General features: G+C 40.1%; 1 protein-coding gene across 15 annotated transcripts in view, besides 10 other annotated features; it reads left to right on the top strand.

Moving 5' to 3' along the window:
- Nucleotides 5,438-6,083: an enhancer, noted in NCBI's record as "OCT4-NANOG-H3K27ac-H3K4me1 hESC enhancer chr2:211045686-211046331 (GRCh37/hg19 assembly coordinates)". NCBI's record gives its function as "activates a minimal SCP1, AML or CMV promoter by ChIP-STARR-seq in primed H9 embryonic stem cells {active_cell/tissue: H9 hESC(primed)}" and the evidence as "EXISTENCE:reporter gene assay evidence [ECO:0000049][PMID:30033119]".
- Nucleotides 8,657-9,156: an enhancer, noted in NCBI's record as "OCT4-NANOG-H3K27ac hESC enhancer chr2:211042613-211043112 (GRCh37/hg19 assembly coordinates)". NCBI's record gives its function as "activates a minimal SCP1, AML or CMV promoter by ChIP-STARR-seq in naive H9 embryonic stem cells {active_cell/tissue: H9 hESC(naive)}" and the evidence as "EXISTENCE:reporter gene assay evidence [ECO:0000049][PMID:30033119]".
- Nucleotides 9,157-9,658: an enhancer, noted in NCBI's record as "OCT4-NANOG-H3K27ac hESC enhancer chr2:211042111-211042612 (GRCh37/hg19 assembly coordinates)". NCBI's record gives its function as "activates a minimal SCP1, AML or CMV promoter by ChIP-STARR-seq in naive H9 embryonic stem cells {active_cell/tissue: H9 hESC(naive)}" and the evidence as "EXISTENCE:reporter gene assay evidence [ECO:0000049][PMID:30033119]".
- KANSL1L (KAT8 regulatory NSL complex subunit 1 like) overlaps nt 14,285-18,498 on the top strand; it is a 151,340-nt gene continuing 147,126 nt past the window's right edge. For 8 of the 15 annotated variants that reach the window (XM_005246332.6, XM_005246328.5, XM_047443490.1 and 5 more), the window contains exon 1: nt 16,319-16,708. In XM_005246332.6, the coding sequence (XP_005246389.1) occupies nt 16,639-16,708 (70 nt within the window). In that variant the 5' untranslated portion in view covers nt 16,319-16,638. Of the gene's footprint in view, nt 15,463-15,635; nt 15,933-16,318; nt 16,709-18,498 lie in introns of those variants that run through there. The other 7 variants (NM_001307976.2, NM_152519.4, XM_047443493.1 and 4 more) reach the window with 4 other exon arrangements.
- Nucleotides 14,707-15,340: an enhancer, noted in NCBI's record as "H3K27ac hESC enhancer chr2:211036429-211037062 (GRCh37/hg19 assembly coordinates)". NCBI's record gives its function as "activates a minimal SCP1, AML or CMV promoter by ChIP-STARR-seq in primed H9 embryonic stem cells {active_cell/tissue: H9 hESC(primed)}" and the evidence as "EXISTENCE:reporter gene assay evidence [ECO:0000049][PMID:30033119]".
- Nucleotides 15,341-15,976: an enhancer, noted in NCBI's record as "H3K27ac hESC enhancer chr2:211035793-211036428 (GRCh37/hg19 assembly coordinates)". NCBI's record gives its function as "activates a minimal SCP1, AML or CMV promoter by ChIP-STARR-seq in primed H9 embryonic stem cells {active_cell/tissue: H9 hESC(primed)}" and the evidence as "EXISTENCE:reporter gene assay evidence [ECO:0000049][PMID:30033119]".
- Nucleotides 15,341-16,611: a biological region, named in NCBI's record as "H3K27ac hESC enhancers GRCh37_chr2:211035158-211035792 and GRCh37_chr2:211035793-211036428".
- Nucleotides 15,420-15,749: a silencer, noted in NCBI's record as "silent region_12293". NCBI's record gives its function as "represses an Ori minimal core promoter by ATAC-STARR-seq in GM12878 lymphoblastoid cells {active_cell/tissue: GM12878}" and the evidence as "EXISTENCE:reporter gene assay evidence [ECO:0000049][PMID:35858748]".
- Nucleotides 15,870-16,179: a silencer, noted in NCBI's record as "silent region_12292". NCBI's record gives its function as "represses an Ori minimal core promoter by ATAC-STARR-seq in GM12878 lymphoblastoid cells {active_cell/tissue: GM12878}" and the evidence as "EXISTENCE:reporter gene assay evidence [ECO:0000049][PMID:35858748]".
- Nucleotides 15,977-16,611: an enhancer, noted in NCBI's record as "H3K27ac hESC enhancer chr2:211035158-211035792 (GRCh37/hg19 assembly coordinates)". NCBI's record gives its function as "activates a minimal SCP1, AML or CMV promoter by ChIP-STARR-seq in naive H9 embryonic stem cells {active_cell/tissue: H9 hESC(naive)}" and the evidence as "EXISTENCE:reporter gene assay evidence [ECO:0000049][PMID:30033119]".
- Nucleotides 16,370-16,549: an enhancer, noted in NCBI's record as "active region_17055". NCBI's record gives its function as "activates an Ori minimal core promoter by ATAC-STARR-seq in GM12878 lymphoblastoid cells {active_cell/tissue: GM12878}" and the evidence as "EXISTENCE:reporter gene assay evidence [ECO:0000049][PMID:35858748]".

Raw genomic sequence — 18,498 nt, 5'->3', positions numbered from 1 at the left:
CTATTGTGAACAGTGCTGCAATAAACATACGTGTGCATGTGTCTTTATAGTAGAGTGATTTATAATCCTTTGGGTATATACCCAGTAATGAGATTGCTGGGTCAAATGGTATTTCTGGTTCTAGATCCTTGAGGAATCGCCACAATGGTTGAACTAATTTACACCCCCACCAACAGTGTAAAAGCGTTCCTATTTCTCAACATCTTCTCCAGCATCTGTTGTTTTCTGACGTTTTAATGATTGGTATTCTAACTGGCGTGAGATGGTATCTTATTGTGGTTTAGATTTGCATTTCTCTAATGACCAGTGATGATGAGCTTTTTTTCATATGTTTGTTGGCCACATAAATGTCTTCTTTTGAGAAGTGTCTGTTCATCTCCCTCACCCACTTTTTGTTGGAGTTGTTTTTTATCTTCTAAATTTGTTTAAATTCCTTGTATACTCTGGATATTAGCCCTTCATCAGATGGATAGATTGCAAAAATATTCTCCCATTCTGTTGGTTGCCTGTTCACGCTGATGATAGTTTCTTTTGATGTGCAGAAGCTCTTTAGCTTAATTAGATCCCATTTGTCAATTTTGGCTTTGTTGCAGTTGCTTTTGGTGTTTTAGTCATGAAGTCTTGGCCCATGCCTATGTCCTGAATGGTATTGCCTAGGTTTTCTTCTAGGGTTTTTATGGTTTTTAGATCTTACATTTACATCTTTAATCCATCTTGAGTTAATTTTTGTATAAGTCATAAGGAAGGGGTGCAGTTTCAATTTTCTGCATATGGCTAGCCAGTTTTCCCAACACTATTAAATAGGGAATCATTTCCCCATTGCTTGTTTTTGTCAGGTTTGTCAAAGATCATATGGTAGTAGATGTGTGGGGTAATTTCTGAGGCCTCTGTTCTGTTCCATTGGTCTATATATCTGTTTTGGTACCAGTATCATGCTGTTTTGGTTACTGTAGCCTTGTAGTATAGTTTGAAGTCAGGTAGCATGATGCCTCTAGCTTTGCTCTTTTAGCTTAAGATTTAATTGGCTATATTGTCTCTTTTGTGGTTCCATATGAAATTTAAAGTAGTTTTTTCTAATTCTGTGAAGAAAGTCAATGGTAGCTTAATGGGGATAGCACTGAATCTATAAATTACTTTGGGCATTATGGCCATTTTCACGATATTGATTCTTCCTATCCATGAGCATGGAATGTTTTTCCATTTGTTTGTGTCCTCTCTGATTTCCTTGAGCAGCGGTTTGTAGTTTTCCTTGAAGAGGTCCTTCACATCCCTTGTGAGTTGGACTCCTAGGTATTTTATTCTCTTTGTAGCAATTGTGAACGGGAGTTTATTCATGATTTGGCTGTTTGTCTACTATTGGTGTATAAGAATGCTTGTAGTTTTTGCACATTGATTTTGTATCCTCAGACTTTGTTGAAGTTACTTATCAGCTTAAGGAGATTTTTTTGGCTGAGATGATGGGGTTTTCTAAATATACAACCATGCCATCTGCAGAGAAAATCTGACTTCCTCTCTTCTTATTTGAATACCTTTATTTCTTTCTCTTGCCTGACTGCCCAGGCCAGAACTTCCAATACTATGTGGAATAGGAGTGGTGAGACAGGGCATCCTTATCTTGTGCCAGTTTTCAAAGGGAGTGCTTCCAGTTTTTGCCCATTCAGTATGATATTGGCTGTGGGTTTGTCATAAATAGCTCTTATTATTTTGAGATACATTCCATCAATACCTAGTTTATTGAGAGTTTTTACCATGAAGGGGTGCTGATTTTTATCGGAGGCCTTTTCTGCATCTATTGAGATAATCATGTGGTTTTTGTCATTGGTTCTGTTTATGTGATGGATTAAGTGTATTCATTTGTGTATGTTGAACCAGCCTTGCATTCCAGGGATGAAGCCAACTTGATCGTGGTGGATAAGCTTTTCGAGGTGCTGCTGGATATGCTTTGCCAGTATTTTATTGAGGATTTTTGCATCGATTTTCATCAGGGATATTGGCCTGAATGTTTTTGTGTGTGTGTGTGTGTGTGTGTGTGTGTGTGTGTGTGTGTGTGTGTGTCTGCCAGGTTTTGGTATCAGGATGATGCTGGCCTCATGAAATGAGTTAGGGAGGATTCCCTCTTTTTTTATTGTTTGGAATAGTTTCAGAAGGAATGGTACCAGCTCCTCTTTGTACCTGCAACAGAAGATGGCTATGAATCTGTGTGGTCCTGGGCTTTTTTTGCTTGGTAGGCTATTAATTCCTGCCTCAATTTCAGAGCCTGTTATTGGTCTGTTCAGGGATTGGACCTCTTCCTTGTTTAGTCTTGGGAGGGTGTATTTGTCCAGGAATTTATCCATTTCTTCTAGATTTTCTAGTTTATTTGCATAGAGATGTTTACAGTATTCTCTGGTGGTAGTTTGTATTTTTGTGGGATCAGTGGTGATATCCACTTTATCAGTTTTTTATCATGTCTATTTGATTCTTCTCTCATTTCTTCTTTATTAGACTGGCTATCAGTCTATCTATTTTGTTAATCTTTTCAAAAAAACAGCCTCTGGATTCATTGATTTTTTGAAGGCTTTTTCATGTTTCTAACTCCTTCAGTTCTGCTCTGATCTTAGATATTTCTTGTCTTCTGCTAGCTTTTGAATTTGTTTGCTCTTGCTGTTCTAGTTATTTTAATTGTGATGTTAGGGTGCTGATTTTAGATCTTTCCTGCTTTCTCCTGTGGGCATTTAGTGCTATTAATTTCCCTCTAAATACTGCTTTAGCTGAGTCCCAGAGATTCTGGTACATTGTCTCTTTGCTCTCATTCATTTCAAAGAACATCTTGATTTCTGCCTTAATTTCATTATTTAGCCAGTAGTCATTCAGGAGCAGGTGGTGTTCAGTTTCCATGTAGTTGTGCGGTTTTGAGTGAGTTTCTTAATCCTGAGTTCTAATTTGATTGTACTGTGGTCTGAGAGACTGTTTGTTGTGGTTTCTGTTCTTTTGCATTTGCTGAGGAGTGCTTTACTTCCAATTATGTGGTCAATTTTAGAATAAGTGCAATGTGGTGCTGAGAAGAATGTATATTCTGTTGATTTGGGGTGGAGAGTTCTGTAGATGTCTATTAGGCTCACTTGGTCCAGAGCTGAGTTCAAATCCTGAATATCTTCTTAATTTTCTGTCTCATTGATCTAATATTCACAGTGGGGTGTTAAAGTCTCCCACTATTATTGTGTGGGAGTCTAATTCTCTTTGTAGGCCTCTAAGAACTTTCTTTATGAATCTGGGTGCTCCTGTATTGGGTGCATATATATTTAGGATAGTTAGTGTTTCTTGTTGCATTGATCCCTGTAATGCCCTTCTTTGTCTTTTTTGATCTTTGTTGGTTTAAAGTCTGTTTTTAGAGAGACTAGGATTGAAACCCCTGCTTTTTTTTGGATCTCCATTTGCTTGGTAGATATTCTTCCATCCCTTTATTTTGAGCCTATGTGTGTTTTGCACAAGAGATAGGTCTCCTGAATATAGCACACCAATGGGTCTTGACTCTTTATCCAATTTGCCAGTCTGTGTCTTTTAATTGGGGCATTTAGCCCATTTACATTTAAGGTTAATATTGTTATGTCTGAATTTGATCCTGTCATTATGAGGCTAGCTGGTTATTTTACCCGTTAGTTGATGCATTTTCTTCATAGTATCAGTGGCCTTTACAATTTAGTACGTCTTTGCAGTGGCTGGTACTGGTTGTTCCTTTCCATATTTAGTGCTTCCTTCAGGAGCTCTTGTAATGCAGGCCTGGTGATGACAAAATCTCTCAGCATTTGCTTGTCTGTAAAGGATTTTATTTCTCCTTTGCTTATGAAGCTTAGTTTGACTGGATATGAAATTCTGGGTTGAAAATTCTTTTCTTTAAGAATGTTGAATATTGGCCCCCATTCTCTTCTGGCTTGTAGGGTTTCTGCAGGGAGATCTGCTGTTAATCTGATAGGCTTCCCTTTGTGGGTAAACCGACCTTTCTCTCTGGCTGCCCTTAACATTTTTTCCTTCATTTCAACCTTGGTGATTCTGATGATTATGTGTCTTGGGGTTGCTCTTCTTGAGGAGTATCTTTGTGGTGTTCTCTGTATTTTCTGAATTTGAATGTTGACCTATCTTGCTAGGTTGGGGAAGTTCTCCTGGATAATACCCTGAAGAGTATTTTCCAACTTGGTTCCATTCTCCCCATCACTTTCAGGTACACCAATCAAATGTAGATTTGGTCCTTTCACATAGTCCCATATCTCTTGGAGGCTTTATTCATTCCTTTTCATTACTTTTTCTCTAATCTTGTCTTCATGCTTTATTTCATTAAGTTGATCTTTAATCTCTGATATCCTTTCTTCTGCTTGATTGATTCGGCTATTGATACTTGTGTATGCTTCACTAAGTTCTGGTGCTGTATTTTTCAGCTCCATCAGGCTATTTATGTTCTTCTCTAAACTGGTTATTCTAGTTAGCAATGCTTCTAACCTTTTTTTCAAGATTCTTAGCTTCCTTGCATTGGGTTAGAACATGCTCCTTTAGCTTGGAGAAATTTGTTATTACCCACCTTCTGAAGTCTAGTTCTGTCAATTCCTCAAACCCATTCTCTGTCCAGTTTTGTTCCCTTGCTGGCAAGGAGTTGTGATCCTTTGGAGGAGAATTGACGTTCTGGTGTTTGGAATTTTCAGCCTTTTTGTGCTGGTTTTTCCTTATCTTCATGGATTTATCTACCTTTGGTCTTTGATGTTGTTGAACTTTGATTGGGGTTTCTGTGTGGACGTCCTTTTTGTTGATGTTGATGCTATTCCTTTCTGTTTGTTAGTTTTCCTTCTAACAGACCCCTCTGCTGCAGGTCTCCTGGAGTTTGCTGGAGGTCCACTCCAGACCCTGTTTGCCTGGGTATCACCATCGAAGGCTGCAGCATAGCAAAGATTGCTGCCTGTTCCTTCCTGTGGAAGCTTTGTCCCAGAGGGGCACCTGCCAGATGCTAGCCAGAGCTCTCCTGTATGAGGTGTTTGTCGACCCCTGCTGGGGGGTGTCTCCCAGTCAGGAGGCAGCGGGGTCAGGTACCCACTTGAGGAGGCGGTCTGTCCCTTAGCAGAGCTTGAGCACTGTGCTGGGAGATTCACTGCTCTCTTCACAGCCAGCAGGCAGGAATGTTTAAGTCTTGACGCTGCGCTCCCAGCCACCCCTTATTCCAGGTGCTCTGTCCCAGCGAGATGGGAGTTTTATCTATAAACACGACTGGGGCTGCTGCCTTTCTTTCAGAGATGGCCTGCCCAGAGAGGAGGAATCTAGAGAGGCAGTCTGGCTACAGCAGCTTTGCAGAGCTGCGGTTGGCTCTGCCTAGTTCAAACTTCCAGGTGGCTTTGTTTACACTGTGAGGGGGAAACCGCCTACTCAAGCCTCAGTAATGGCGAATGCCCCTCCCCCGACCAAGCTCGAGCATCCAGGTTGACTTCAGACTGCTGTGCTGGGAGTGAGAATTTCAAGCCAGTGGATCTTAGCTTGCTGGGCTCTGTGGGGGTGGGATCTGCTGAGCTAGACCACTTGGCTTCCTGGCTTCAGCCTCTTTTCCAGGGGAGTGAACGGTTCTGTCCTGCTGGTGTTTCAGGCACCACTGGGGTGTGAAAAAAAAAAAAACTGCAGATAGCTCAGTGTCTGCCCAAATGGCTGCCCAGTTTTGTGCTTGAAACCCAGGGCCCTGGTGGTGTAGGCATCCGAGGGAATCTCCTGGTCTGCAGGTTGCAAAGACCATGGGGAAAATGTAGTATCTGGGCCAGAATGTACAGTTCCTCACAGTACAGTCCCTCCTGGCTTCCCTTGGCTAGGGGAGGGAGTTCCCTGACCCCTTGCACTTCCTGGGTGAGGCAACACCCCACCCTGTTTTGGCTCACCTTCCATGGGCTGCACCCACTGTCTAACGAGTCCCAGTGAGATGAGTTGGGTACCTCAGTTGGAAATGCAGAAATCACCCTATACCTATACCATTCTTTCCTAGAACTATACAGCTTTGATTTGCTCTTAGGCAGAAGTTTGTATAGTTGCCAGCTTAGGATCTTTCTCATATGCAAAGTGGATTAATATAATTTTTTATTAGATTTTACTGTATTTGTGGCTTTCACTTTTCTCCTACTGCCAGAAAGTGACAGAGGACTAGACGGACCCCTTCCACACTGCCCCACTTCACTGCAGCCTCTTTTCCTTCCATTCCCAATCTTGAAGAAAACTAGATTTTAGGAATGAAACATCTGTAGGTTTAAAAAGTAAATTAGCACAGTAGGAAAAGTCTGTTGTGTAGAGATGGACAGAGTTAGGTTTGAATGACTGCCATTTAGGAGCCGCTCAACCTTGGGTATGTTGTTTACCTTCCCAAGATTTTGTCAGGTGCAAATGACAAAAGAAACCCAACTGAAACCACCCTAGGCAAGAACTTAAGTTTAGTTGCTTAAAAGTATTGCAGAGCAGCTCATATAAAGACCTGTAGGAACTGGAGTTTCAAGGGCCTGATTCTGGAGCTTAGAACTGCCAGCATTTATGCTATATCCATTTATTACTACTTTTCTTTGCAAATTGGCCTAATGAACCCTGTAGAAGACCTTCATTATGAGCCCTGTAAAAATCACCTTGTGCTGCTTCAGGCCTGCATCTGTCATTATAAGGTAGGGAAGAAATGGACTATGATTGACAGTTCCATCAGGAATATGTGGACTGGGAGAAGCAGTCTCTGAAGCAGTGTGGTATTATCAAAAGAAAGGGAACAAAAAAGGCTGCTGGGCAGACCTAAATCTCTCTCCTTCTATTCCTCTTTCTCACACACACACGTGCACACATACATAGTGATTACAGTCCTCTAGAGCTAGGAATAGTTTCTAGTAATTTATGTATAGCAGAAAGTGAAAAGATTTCTAAGGTAGGATGTTTTCTTACAATGATCTCTGGGATATTTTCTATTCTAAGCCAGTGGCTTTATCTTAACAACTACAGTCTTGTTTTACACCCCCAAAAGAAGCATGTTTTGTATCATGGGCTTAAAGCTGAAACAAACAAAAAAAGGGAATTCACAATGTGCTTCTTAATCTTTCATTTGGTTTTCATTTCTTAAACAGCTTATCTTTATGTTTTGCTTGTGTGGCTTTGATTGTTGTCTCCTAGGGAGGGAACTTATCTGTATCTCATGCAGTGCTGAGTGCTCAAGAAATGATAAATAATAATAATGCTTAAAAGAACAGGCTGGACCAACACAGCAAGAAAGAAACATTGTGTAAATATAAATGAGAGTTTAAAAGCCTGAGTAATTTTGTTTTTTGGCTAAGAGTTTTAGGATCATGATTGCTTTAAAATTACTCTTGCCCTTTGTTTCTTTGATGGTGTCATTGAAAACTGTTTTGATTTGCTATTTTAAAATCTAACTCTTCAAATTTTTACTAATCTAGTAATTCTAGTAGCTTATTACTCAAAGTATAAGATTTCTAGCAGAATTTTTCTCATGTCAGTATTATTTTTGGCACACACAGCATTTATTTATTTGGAGTCATTGGAAAGATTTGACACTGAGATTGAAACCAACTGTAGGTCTATGTCTGCTGCTTTACAATAAATGAGGAAAAGAAATTCTACTATAATTTTTAAAATGTCATTTTTAAGAAAAAACTTATGGAAAACTTCAAACTTACTAAAAAATAGAGTACAATATAATGAACCTCCAGCTTCAACATTTGCCAATCTCCTCCACTTTTTTCCTCACATATTATAGGGCAAATCCCAGATTTAATGCTACTTCACAAACACAAATGTATTTCAGAATATGTATCTAACTGGTGAAGATATTTTTACATGGCCACAAGGTTATTATCATACTTTAAAAAACCTAAATTTAATATATAAGTCCAAGTTCACATTACATTTTCCTTGACTGCATCAAAAATGCCTTTTATAGTTAGTTTATTCAAATAAGGATCTGAACAAGGTCCACAAATTGTATTTGGTCTCTCTCTCTCTGTCTCTCTCCTTTTTTAAATAGCAGTCCTCCCTTTTCTCTTTTTCCTTTCTCTTTATAAATTTCATTTTAAAAGTTAACATATAGCATATTTTCCCTTTTTTGGTATTCATACGTAACAGTAAAATTGCCTTTTTTGGTTCTGAGAGTTTTAGCATTTATAGATTGATGTGATCACCACCACAGTTAGGATATACAGAACAGTCTTATCACCCCCAAAAAACTCCCTCAACAGTCTTTTCACCTCAAAAAATTCTGCCCTTTATAGTCACACCCTCTCCACACCTATTACTATAGTATGTTATCTTTCGAGAATAATTTCTTTCTCTTAGCAAAATATATTTATGATCCATCCATGTTGCATGAGTCAATAGCTTCTTCCTTTTTTGGTGCTAACTGTAGGCATGTACCACAGTTTATTCATTCACCTGTTTACAGACACGTTGGTTAAGATTAAATCTTAATATCTTGTTAAGGTTAAATATCCTGGAGAGGACTTGTTGTGTCACATGGTAAGTGTGTGTTTAAACTTATAAGAAACTGCCAAACTGTTTTTCCAAAGTGCCTGTACCACTTTGCTGACCAACCAGCAATGTAAGAGTTCCAGTTACTTTGAATCTTCTCCAGCACTTTGTTTTTTTAATTTTTGCCATTCTAATAGGTATGTAGTAGCATGTCACCATGGTTTTAATTTGAATTTCCTTTATGTCTAATCATGCAGAACAATATATCATGTGCTTACTTGCCTTTCACATATTACCTTTCTTTTGCCCATTTTTTAATTGTGTTGTTTGTTTTCTTTATGGTGAGTTTTGAAAATTCTTTATATATTCTGGATACTGTCAAGTACAAGGCAAAGCTAGGCTAACAGATTCAGCTGCAAAAAAACAAGACCTTTTTAGACTCAGTTTATTGCTTACATAGAGAGTAAAAAGAAGAGTAGCTAAAGGATCCAGCTCTTCGTTACCTTTGTATAGGGAGACAGTGAAACAAAAGAAGCCACATGACCACAACAAGAATGATAGGATTCCCTGTTGCTGAGGAGCCCATTTCCATGATACTGCTAAGCAGTTTTTTTTAATAGCTGCATTTGTGCCTTAAGGGTAGCAAGACAGGAAGCCTTGTACCTCATCAGAAACCATGAGATAATGACAAAGGGTCTTTGGCAGCCTCCTTGGTATACAGGGAAGCCAGTAAGCAATGGCATGTAGCACTACCTCACAAGCCCCCATGCTTTCCTATTCCAGGAGGATCACAAAGCATTCTGCCAAGATTCAGCTGCCATTCAAGCCTTGCTTATGTGGCCTATGCAAGGTTGTCAGCCGCTGCAGAGCTGTTCCGCTATAGATACAAGTCCATTGTTAGATATGTGGTTTGCAAATATTTTCTCACTGTAGCTAGTTCATTCTTTTAACAGTTGATTTCTCAGAACAAAAGTTTTTTAATTTTGACGAATTTCAGTTTACCACTTTTTTATTTTGTGGGTCATGCATTTGGTGTCATGTCTAAGAACTCTTTACCCAAACCCAAATCATAAGGTTTTCTATGTTTTCTTCTAAGAAGGTTATATTTTATATTGTTCATTTAGATCTATATTCCCTTTAGTAATTTTTTTATAAAGCATGAAGTTTCATGTTAAGGCTTACTTTTTTTGCATCTAAATATCTAACTGTTCCAACACTACTTATTGAAAAGAGTATCTTTTCAGACTGGATAAAGAAAATGTGGTACATATACACCATGGAATACTATGCAGCCATATAAAAGATGAGATGTCCATTGCATGTCCATTGGAGGGACATGGATGGAGCTGGAGGCCATTATCCTTAGCTAACTCAGGAACAGAAAACCAAATACCGCATGTTCTCACTTATAAGTGGGAGCTAAATGATGAGAAAACATGAATACATAGAGGGGAACAACACACACTGGGGCCTTTTGGAGGATGGAGGGTGGGAGGAGGGAGAGGATCAGGAAAAACAACTAATGGATACTAGGCTTAATACCTGGCTGATGAAACAATCTGGACACAAACCCCCATGACACAAGTTTACCTATGTAACATACCTGCATTTGTACCCCTGAACTTAAAATGTTTAAAAAGAAGAAGAAATAAAACTTTTTCAGGGCAAATTTGTAAAAATAGCAAAAGAAATAAAGGGCATCCACATTGGAAAGGAAGAAGTCCACCAAAAAAACTACTAAAACTGATAAATTCAGTAAGTTGCAGGATACAAAATCAACATACAAAAATCAGTAGCATTTCTATATGCCAACAGCATACAATCTAGAGAAGAAATCAAGAAAGTAAAACCATTTACAATAGCTACAAGTAAAATAAAAGATTAACTTATCCACCTGATGAAGTTGTAGAATTGTTGAGAGGGACTCAGGAAAGTCACCTTAAAGGCTCTGTTTGCTTTCCCGCTCTTCTTTCTTCCTGCTGCCTGGGAAATGGATAGTTATGATTGGGGTTCCACCAGCCATCTGGGACCATGAGATTGCTTTGAAAATGGAAGCCAGGGCTGAGAATGGAGAAGATAAAATAATAGAAAGGAGCCTGGGTCTCTGGTGACTTTGTGGAGCTGTTATAACAGTTCTGGAATAATTAATCTGTAGACTAATTTTACTGCATTTTATTGATTCTTAAGATGCACTATTTATGTATCATTAAAAAAACACTGCCAATCAAACTCATACAATACTTTCTTATTGCATGAACTGTGAAGTTATTCTGATCTCTGAAATGTTAAAGTGTGGAAAAAAGGTGTCTTAGAATCAATAAAATATGTTAAAGGATTAACCCTTCTGTTTTAAAGCTATCATTATTTTGAGTTTTCTCATACATTATACACAACCTATTTTCCTAGTTTTTAATTTTAGACTGAGAACTTCTTGAGGTTTCTTAGTCCACTTTCATTAGGGAGTTCCCATTTTAAGTATATTTTGATGAGTTTTGACAAATGCATGCACCCATTTGACTTCCACCATGGTCAAGATATAGAACTTTTTTGTCACCCTTTAATCCCATCCCAGTCAATTCTCCCCACCCCAACCCTAAGAAACCACTGATCTGTTTTCTGTCATTATTGGTTAGATTTGTCTTTCTCTAGAGCTTTATATAAATGGAATCATCCAATATTTATGATTCTGTGTCTGGCTTCTTTCACTCAGCATACTGTTTGAGACTCATCCTTGTTGTTTTATATATCAGTAGTTTCTTCTTTTTATTTCTGAGTGGTATTCTATTATACCACTATAATAGAATACAAAGAAAAATGTACCATAATTTCTTTACCCTTTCATTTTTTTTTTTTTTTTTGAGATGGAGTTTTGCTCTTGCTGCCCAGGCTGGAGTGCAATGGCATGATCTCCACTCACTGCAACCTCTGCCCCCTGGGTTCAAGTGATTATCGTGCCTCAGCCTCCCAAGTAGCTGGGATTACAGGCATGTGCCATCATGCCCGGGTAATTCTGTATTTTTAGTAGAGATGGGGTTTCACCATGTTGGTCAGGCTGATCTGGAAATCCTGACTTCAGGTGATCTGCCCGCCTCGGCCTCCCAAAGTGTTGGGATTACAGGCGTGAGCCACCGTGCCCAGCTCTTTATCCTTTCAAAGGTGATGGATCTTAGGGCTGTTTCCAGTTTGAGGCTGTTGTGAATAAAAGTGCCATGGATATTCATATACACAGGGAATCATTTTGTTCCCCTGTAGTCATGGGCCAGTTCTGTTCTCTGTTATACTTAGCCCTGGTTCGAAGATTCTTATAGGTCTTGCTACCTACCTCTACCTTTTGTCTGCTTGTTTATAGATACTGGTTAGTTAAAGCTAAATCTGTCCTGAGTAGGGATTATCATGTTTAGCCGTTCTGCTTCTATTTCCCTCTCTAAACCTGATCATAAAAGAAGAATTAAATATACTGGAATATAACAGTGGGGGACAGTTTCTCAGGGCATAGAAATGTGGAGAAATAAATAGGACAACCTCGAATAGAGTAGGGTAGGGTAGGGTAGGGTAGGGTGGGGTGGGGTGGGGTGGGGTGGCGTGGCATGGCGTGGCGTGGCATGGCGTGGAATGGAATGGAATAGAATAGAATAGAATAGAATAGAATAGAATAGAATAGAATAGAATAGAATAGGATAGGATAGAATAGAATAGAATAGGATAGAATAGAATAGAATAGAATAGGCTTTCTATTCTGTGAGAGGTAGTGAGGAAAGAACTCTGGCTTTGGACCCAGTCAGGTCTGTCTTCGAAATGGGCCATTTATTAGCATAAGAATCTAGGTACATTAATCTCACTGAGCTTCATATTTTTTTCACCTGGAAAATGAATATAACATTCACTTTCTGGGATGTGAAAATTAATTTATCCAGACATTAAATATGCATTGAGAATCCACATGTGTCAGGCCCTGTCCTAGGCTCTAGGGATACAGCAATGAGCGAACCAGCAAAAGTGCCTGACTTCATGGAGCTTATGGTCTAATTTAGGGCGATAGACTACAAAAGTAAAAAAATCAAAATCTATGTTACATTACATGCTGATAAGTGCAATGGAGAAAAACAAAGTAACAAAGGGGGATAGAAAAGCCCCTTCTTGGCTGTGAGTTGCTTGAAATTAAAGATTGATCTTTCTCCTTTATCTCTAGCATTTATCACAGTGTCAGCTATACTAAGTGTTGCATGAATGTTTCTTGAGTGAAAGGAATGACTGAATAAAAACCAGTGTTGAAGAGAGAAGTTTATCTCATGAAATCATTGTAATACTGCTTACCTGGACATTTTTTAAAGCTTCCAGATAGGTAATTATTATGTCAGCAAGAATGGTGCCCTTTACTTCTCCTTGTTCTTGCTGGATTTTAAAGTGTTCTATTCTTACCACTGTTATATTTTTTCTTGGAAATCAGAATGCTTTTAATGTACCTTCTAAATGATATGTCCTTGATTTTAAAAAAACATTAACTACATGCACTTTTCAGGCTGTTGCTGAGTAATATAGAAAATAATTTGACAAATGATTCAGTATATCAATTTTTGTAATAAGGAGAACTGATATTCTATAGTGTCTGGAAAACTCGCATGTATATGCTACAAATAATAAAATCATGCTTTAGAACAATATTCAGTGTCAAGGGATAGTGTGCTTAACATGTAGCTAAATGGGATAAAAAACCAGTATGCACAGTGTCATACATATAAAATACAACAGACTTTGCATATGATTGTGGTTTTCTTCTTTGTGCTTTCCTATATATTTTATATCAAACCTGTATTATTTTGTTAATCATCTCCCCACATTCCTATTAAACCGAATATAAAATAGGGAAAATGTACATGTATGATAGCTTGATAGATTGAAATATTTATTTAAGGTCTGTAACATTTAGCAGGCGGCAGGGCTGACTAGAAGATAAAAGAATTAATCTGGAGCGGCCGGGTGTTGTGGCTCACGCCTGTAATCCCAGCATTTTGGGAGGCCGAGGCGGGCAGATCACCAGGTCAGGAGATCTAGACCATCCTGGCTAACATAGTGAAACTCCGTCTCTACTAAAAATACAAAAAAAAAAAAAAAAAATTAGCCGGTCTTGGTGGCGGGCGCCTGTAGTCCCAGCTACTCGGGAGGCTGAGGCAGGAGAATGGCATGAACCCGGGAGGCGGAGCTTGCAGTGAGGCGAGATCGCACCACTGCACTCCAGCCTGGGAGACAGTGTGAGACTCCGTCTCAAAAAAAAAAAAAAAATTAATCTAGAGTATTGGAAACAGCCTACCTCCCACGGCTATGTGATGAACAAATTACATAATATATGTAGAAATGCTGTATGAATCACTATTTGTGTAGTTACAAAGCTTAATCCCTTTGTCATCCTCTATAAACTCCATGAGGACAGGGAATTTGTTTACTAATATATCTTCATTAGCCATCACAAAACATGTGTTCAATAAACATTTGGCAAATATATAAATATTTTGTTTGGTAGCAAAAAATTATTTCACAGGAGAAAACTACCATTAAATGATTTGATGTCTCTACAGTTCCTTCAGGTTAAAATCTGAATTCCTGTCATTCAAGATTTACTCAATCTAGTTGACAATGTACTTTTCTGCCCCCCAAATATTCACACAACATCTCCTCAAACCACCCAAGGACACTATCTCCTGAACTATTGATGCCTTCCTCCTCTCTCTTAAGTCTTTTAAACGTCCAACTCAAATCCAGAATCTTCCTTTGATCTATCTTAACACATGCTTATTAGATGTCTCAAACTGCTAATTAAAAAAACAAAACTTTAAAAAATACTTTATTCATTTTTGCATTTCTGTCCCCAGGGACTAGGACAGTCCTTTGAATATGGTAAATATCCAATAAATACTTACTGATTTAATTATTTTTCACAACACATCATTAGCTTACAATTTTTATTACAATGAAAGTAAATCAATTTCCTAAAATTCTTCCCTTGCCCCATATCGAGGTGCAATTATTCAGTAATTAAAAAAATATAGCTCCAATAAATGCAGCTGGTCATAAAAATTATTTCAGTAATATCACAATCTACTAGAAGAACCAGGAACGAGTAGCTAATTTTCCAATTCCAGTTATCTATGTTACGGATTACGCTTTGTTATGACTGCAATTCCTTGGATTTCTCCCCTCTTCCGCCCCCGGGATCTTATCCAATTGATAAGGTTAAAATAATGGCTATTATCCTTCTGGCTTAAAAAGCCTAGTGCTCTTCGTTCCTTAAATCATTTCATGTGTAAATTCGGTGCTTAGGAAAGACTGTGATACAACATCTAAGAAGCTACATTTAGAGTTCAGTTTTAAAAAAATCGAGTTCTTGGCTGGGGAAGTGCCCAGGTGCAGGTTTGTTTTGTGGTGAGCGGTTCGCGGGGCCAGGTGCAAGACGCTCAGAAGTGTTTTTGGGTGTCGCTGGCCAACTATCTCCACATAAACTCCGTTTGTTTATTTGACAGCGTTACTGCAGAGGGGAGTTAGGTCCAGCGCCACTCAAACCAGATTTGTAGAGACTTAAAACTGCTTTGTCTGTTTTTTTTTTTTTAATCATAAAACCACCCAGTTGGATCCAAGGCAAATTTGTCACCTACTTCAGGGCCCCTCTGAGGGTCAGAAAGAATTATGAGCGCATTTGAACGCACGGCCCAAATAAAAGCAAACGCACGGAGACTTGCGGACTTGACAATTGTGAGAAATCTCTTAAAACTCGCCTGTGGAGCGGCGGGCGAAAGCCGCGGACGCCAGCAGTAGTCGAGGCCCCGGCGCGGACGGCAGGGAATGAAGTCGCCTGACTTTTCCTCAGGGTTTTGTTTTTCTGTCACGGAGGTACAAAAATAGCAAAGCAGGGGTGGGAAGTCTCCTGGCCGTGTTTTTTTTTTTCCCCCTCGCCAGGGATGGCACTGGGAAAGAGAAGGGAGGAAGCAGGAGCTGCACGGAACCCGTCCCGAGGGAGCCGAGGTAAACCCTGCACCAGAGTTAAGGGAGTCGTGCTCCTGCCACTTCCAGAACACTCCGAGCCGCTTCTGCAGGCCCCGCCCCCTGCCGGGGTTTCCCCGCCACCCGCTTCATTTGCATGGCGCTGCCCCTCCCCCGTTGCCATTGGCTAGCGCCGGGCCCCGCCCACTGCTCCCAGACCGCGGCAGGGTTCCGTCCCCCCGAGCCGCACGGAGCTGCGGGCAGCGGGCGGACTGTTAAACCGCGGCGGCGGCGGCGGCGGCGGCGGCGGCGGCGGCGGCGGCGGCGGCCGGGGCGGGAGCGGGGCGCGCTCTGGAGACGAGTCAGCGGCGCCCCGGGTGGGGGAGGCGGGCGGGCAGCTAGAGATCACCTCAGCAGCCCCCACCACGGCCGGACCGAAGGTGCGGCGGCGGAGGGGAGCCAGGGCGCCCCAGCAGGCGAGTGGCCGGCGTCTCAGCGGCGGGATGACGGGGGTGGGTCTTCCCTCTTGGGGACGGCGGCAGCGCGGGGAGGGGAGAAGACTGCCGGGTGGACTTGCGGGTCAGGCGACCGACCGGCAGCCCCTTCGCCCCCCGAATCCTCTGGGCTGCTGGACTCTGGTCTCGGCACGGGATCGCGCTCTAGGGCGGGGGTCTGACCGCAGCCAAATTTAAACGGCTAAACCTAACAGCCTTGGCAGCTGGGGAGGGAAGGGGTCTAGGGAGGGGTGGGGGCGGACCTGGACGCCGGTCACGTGGGGGGTGGGGCTTGGCAGACCTCCCTTTTGTTTTGGCTGGCGCGTGCGCAGAAGGCAGAACACGTGGTTTCCTGGACCCGCCTCTTGCCTCATCGGCTGAGCCTCACCCATTGGGGGTGTGGTGACGGCTCTTTTGAGGCGGCTCTGAGGCGGAGCCCACTGGATTTGATGAGACCCCTATTTTATTTATTTCACACTTTCTTTCAGGAAAACGTAGATTTGGGCTTTAGAGTTAGATGGGATAGAGCAGAATCTAGGGGATTTTTGAGGGACGGTGCTTCCAAGTTTGTGTCACCGGTGTGCTGAGGAAGGGACCGGTCTTGCTGGAAAAAGTCAGATTGCGTGGTGTTTGGTAGCAAGAAATACCAGGCGGTATCCTGGCCGTTTCAGAAACCACAGGAAAGGAAAGAGGCTGGCTTTGCAGTCGGGAGGGCAGGCACTGGATGGACGTTCTTGTAATGTTTTCTTACTCTGGGAGAGTCCGTTTTTGTTTGTTTTTTTGTTTGAACTGTGGTAAGCACATTCCGTTTTTGATTCCCCAAACTTCAGGACATTCATGTTCTGGCGAGGTTTAGGAGACAAACTTCCTTCGTCTTTAGCCAGTTTGCTTAACTTCATCTGAGTTTGGGTCAGTAATAATTTTAAATATTGCTGGATGGGGCAGGTTTGTTAGCCACAAAACCTAAGTGAAGTGAGCACTGCAGACAAAACTGGCAATTTCTGACTAGGAAAAAATGACTCTAAAAATAATTCAGTATTGAGAAAGAGGCTTAACAGTGAGTGGTCTCTGCCTTTCCCGTTCTTAATAACTAGCCATTTCTTTGGGTTAGTCACCTCTCTGATGTCAAACTTGTTTCGTTTTTGTAAAGTTTCATAATATGGTCTCTGTCTTAAGAGATTGTAAGAAAGAAGAAATGCCTTGTATTAGGAAAAGTGATTCCTAATCTCTACCAATTGCCAAGTAGTGTTATTTTTATAACAAAAGTGAATTTTTTAAAAGCCCACATGTTGGGGAAATATAAACAATGAATTAATCATGAAATAGAATATATTTGAGTATCTTTAAAATCTGTTGTAACCATTATCTTTGGTTCTCCCTCAGTTTCCACCTACTTAGATCAGTGTCAGCGTCTGCAACCATTTCCTCATGGTTTTAATCTACATAGATTATTCTCTCCCGCAAACTGTCTGGAGTAATTTTTTATGTGAAACTTCTTAATCCAGGCCAATTCTCTCACATTGACTTTTAACATTTACATTTTAATTTTGTTTCATGATGCGCCTTTGCAAATAACAATCGATTATTTTGTTAAATCTTATTATTATAAAGTAATTGGAAAATAGATGAGTGCAAATAAGAAAACTATAAATATTTTGTACTTTAAATATTTCTGTCTGCATATATGTGTATTTTTCCTAAAACTGAGACCACATGGTATTTTCATTTAACTCAGACATTCGCATATCATTATTCTTTGAAAAATATTTTTAATAGCTGCTTAACATTTCGCCATGTAACTATCATATTTTAAATTTTTTCTGTTGGCACGTATGTGGGATGTTTCTGGTTTTGCTAGTGTATATTTCACTACAGACAATATCCTTTTACATAAACCTTTGAAATTTCCCCCCCTTAGATTTGTAGAAGAGGAATTACTGGGCCAAAGAGTCTGTTTTTGTTGTTTGTTTGTGTGTGTGTTTTTTAAGGCTCTTATGTCATCACCAAATTACAGAATGTTGTATTGATTTACAGTGATCTAGTGGTATGTGTGTGCCTCCCATTATGTCTTTGTTTATCACCTAGTATTAGGCTTTAAAACTAAAAACCTTGCTTTAATTTGCATTTTAAATTTTTTCACTCTAATCTGTGATGTATCTTTTATTTTTTAACTTATTGTAAAGTGCTTGAGAGAAAGAAATATATTTCATGTTTGACATGCTGCAGATCACTTAGTGGGTGCTCAATAAATACTTGCCAGTGGGCTAATATTTATCTTTTTTATCTATGGAAGATCAGGAAATTGTCTTTTGCTTTTTGTTTTACTCAGTTTACTAGTACATTGTTAGTAATATACTATTATTGTTGGATTCATAACTTTTACTACTTTTTCATTCAGGTGAGGCCTCAGTGATCTGATCACAGTTGTCTACCAGAAGGTCAATTAACTTCTCATAGCCCAACTGCTGCATTATCCAAGAACTTCATCCAATTTTGATGCCATTTATCATGATACCTTAGATTATTTCATTTCCTTTACTCATTCATCTGTCTTCTATGAAATTAACGTAAAGGTTTCACTGAT

This window comes from Homo sapiens, chromosome 2, assembly GCF_000001405.40.
Source record: "Homo sapiens chromosome 2, GRCh38.p14 Primary Assembly".
NCBI classification, from domain to species: Eukaryota; Metazoa; Chordata; class Mammalia; order Primates; family Hominidae; genus Homo; species Homo sapiens.
This window is presented reverse-complemented; position numbering and strand designations above follow the sequence as displayed.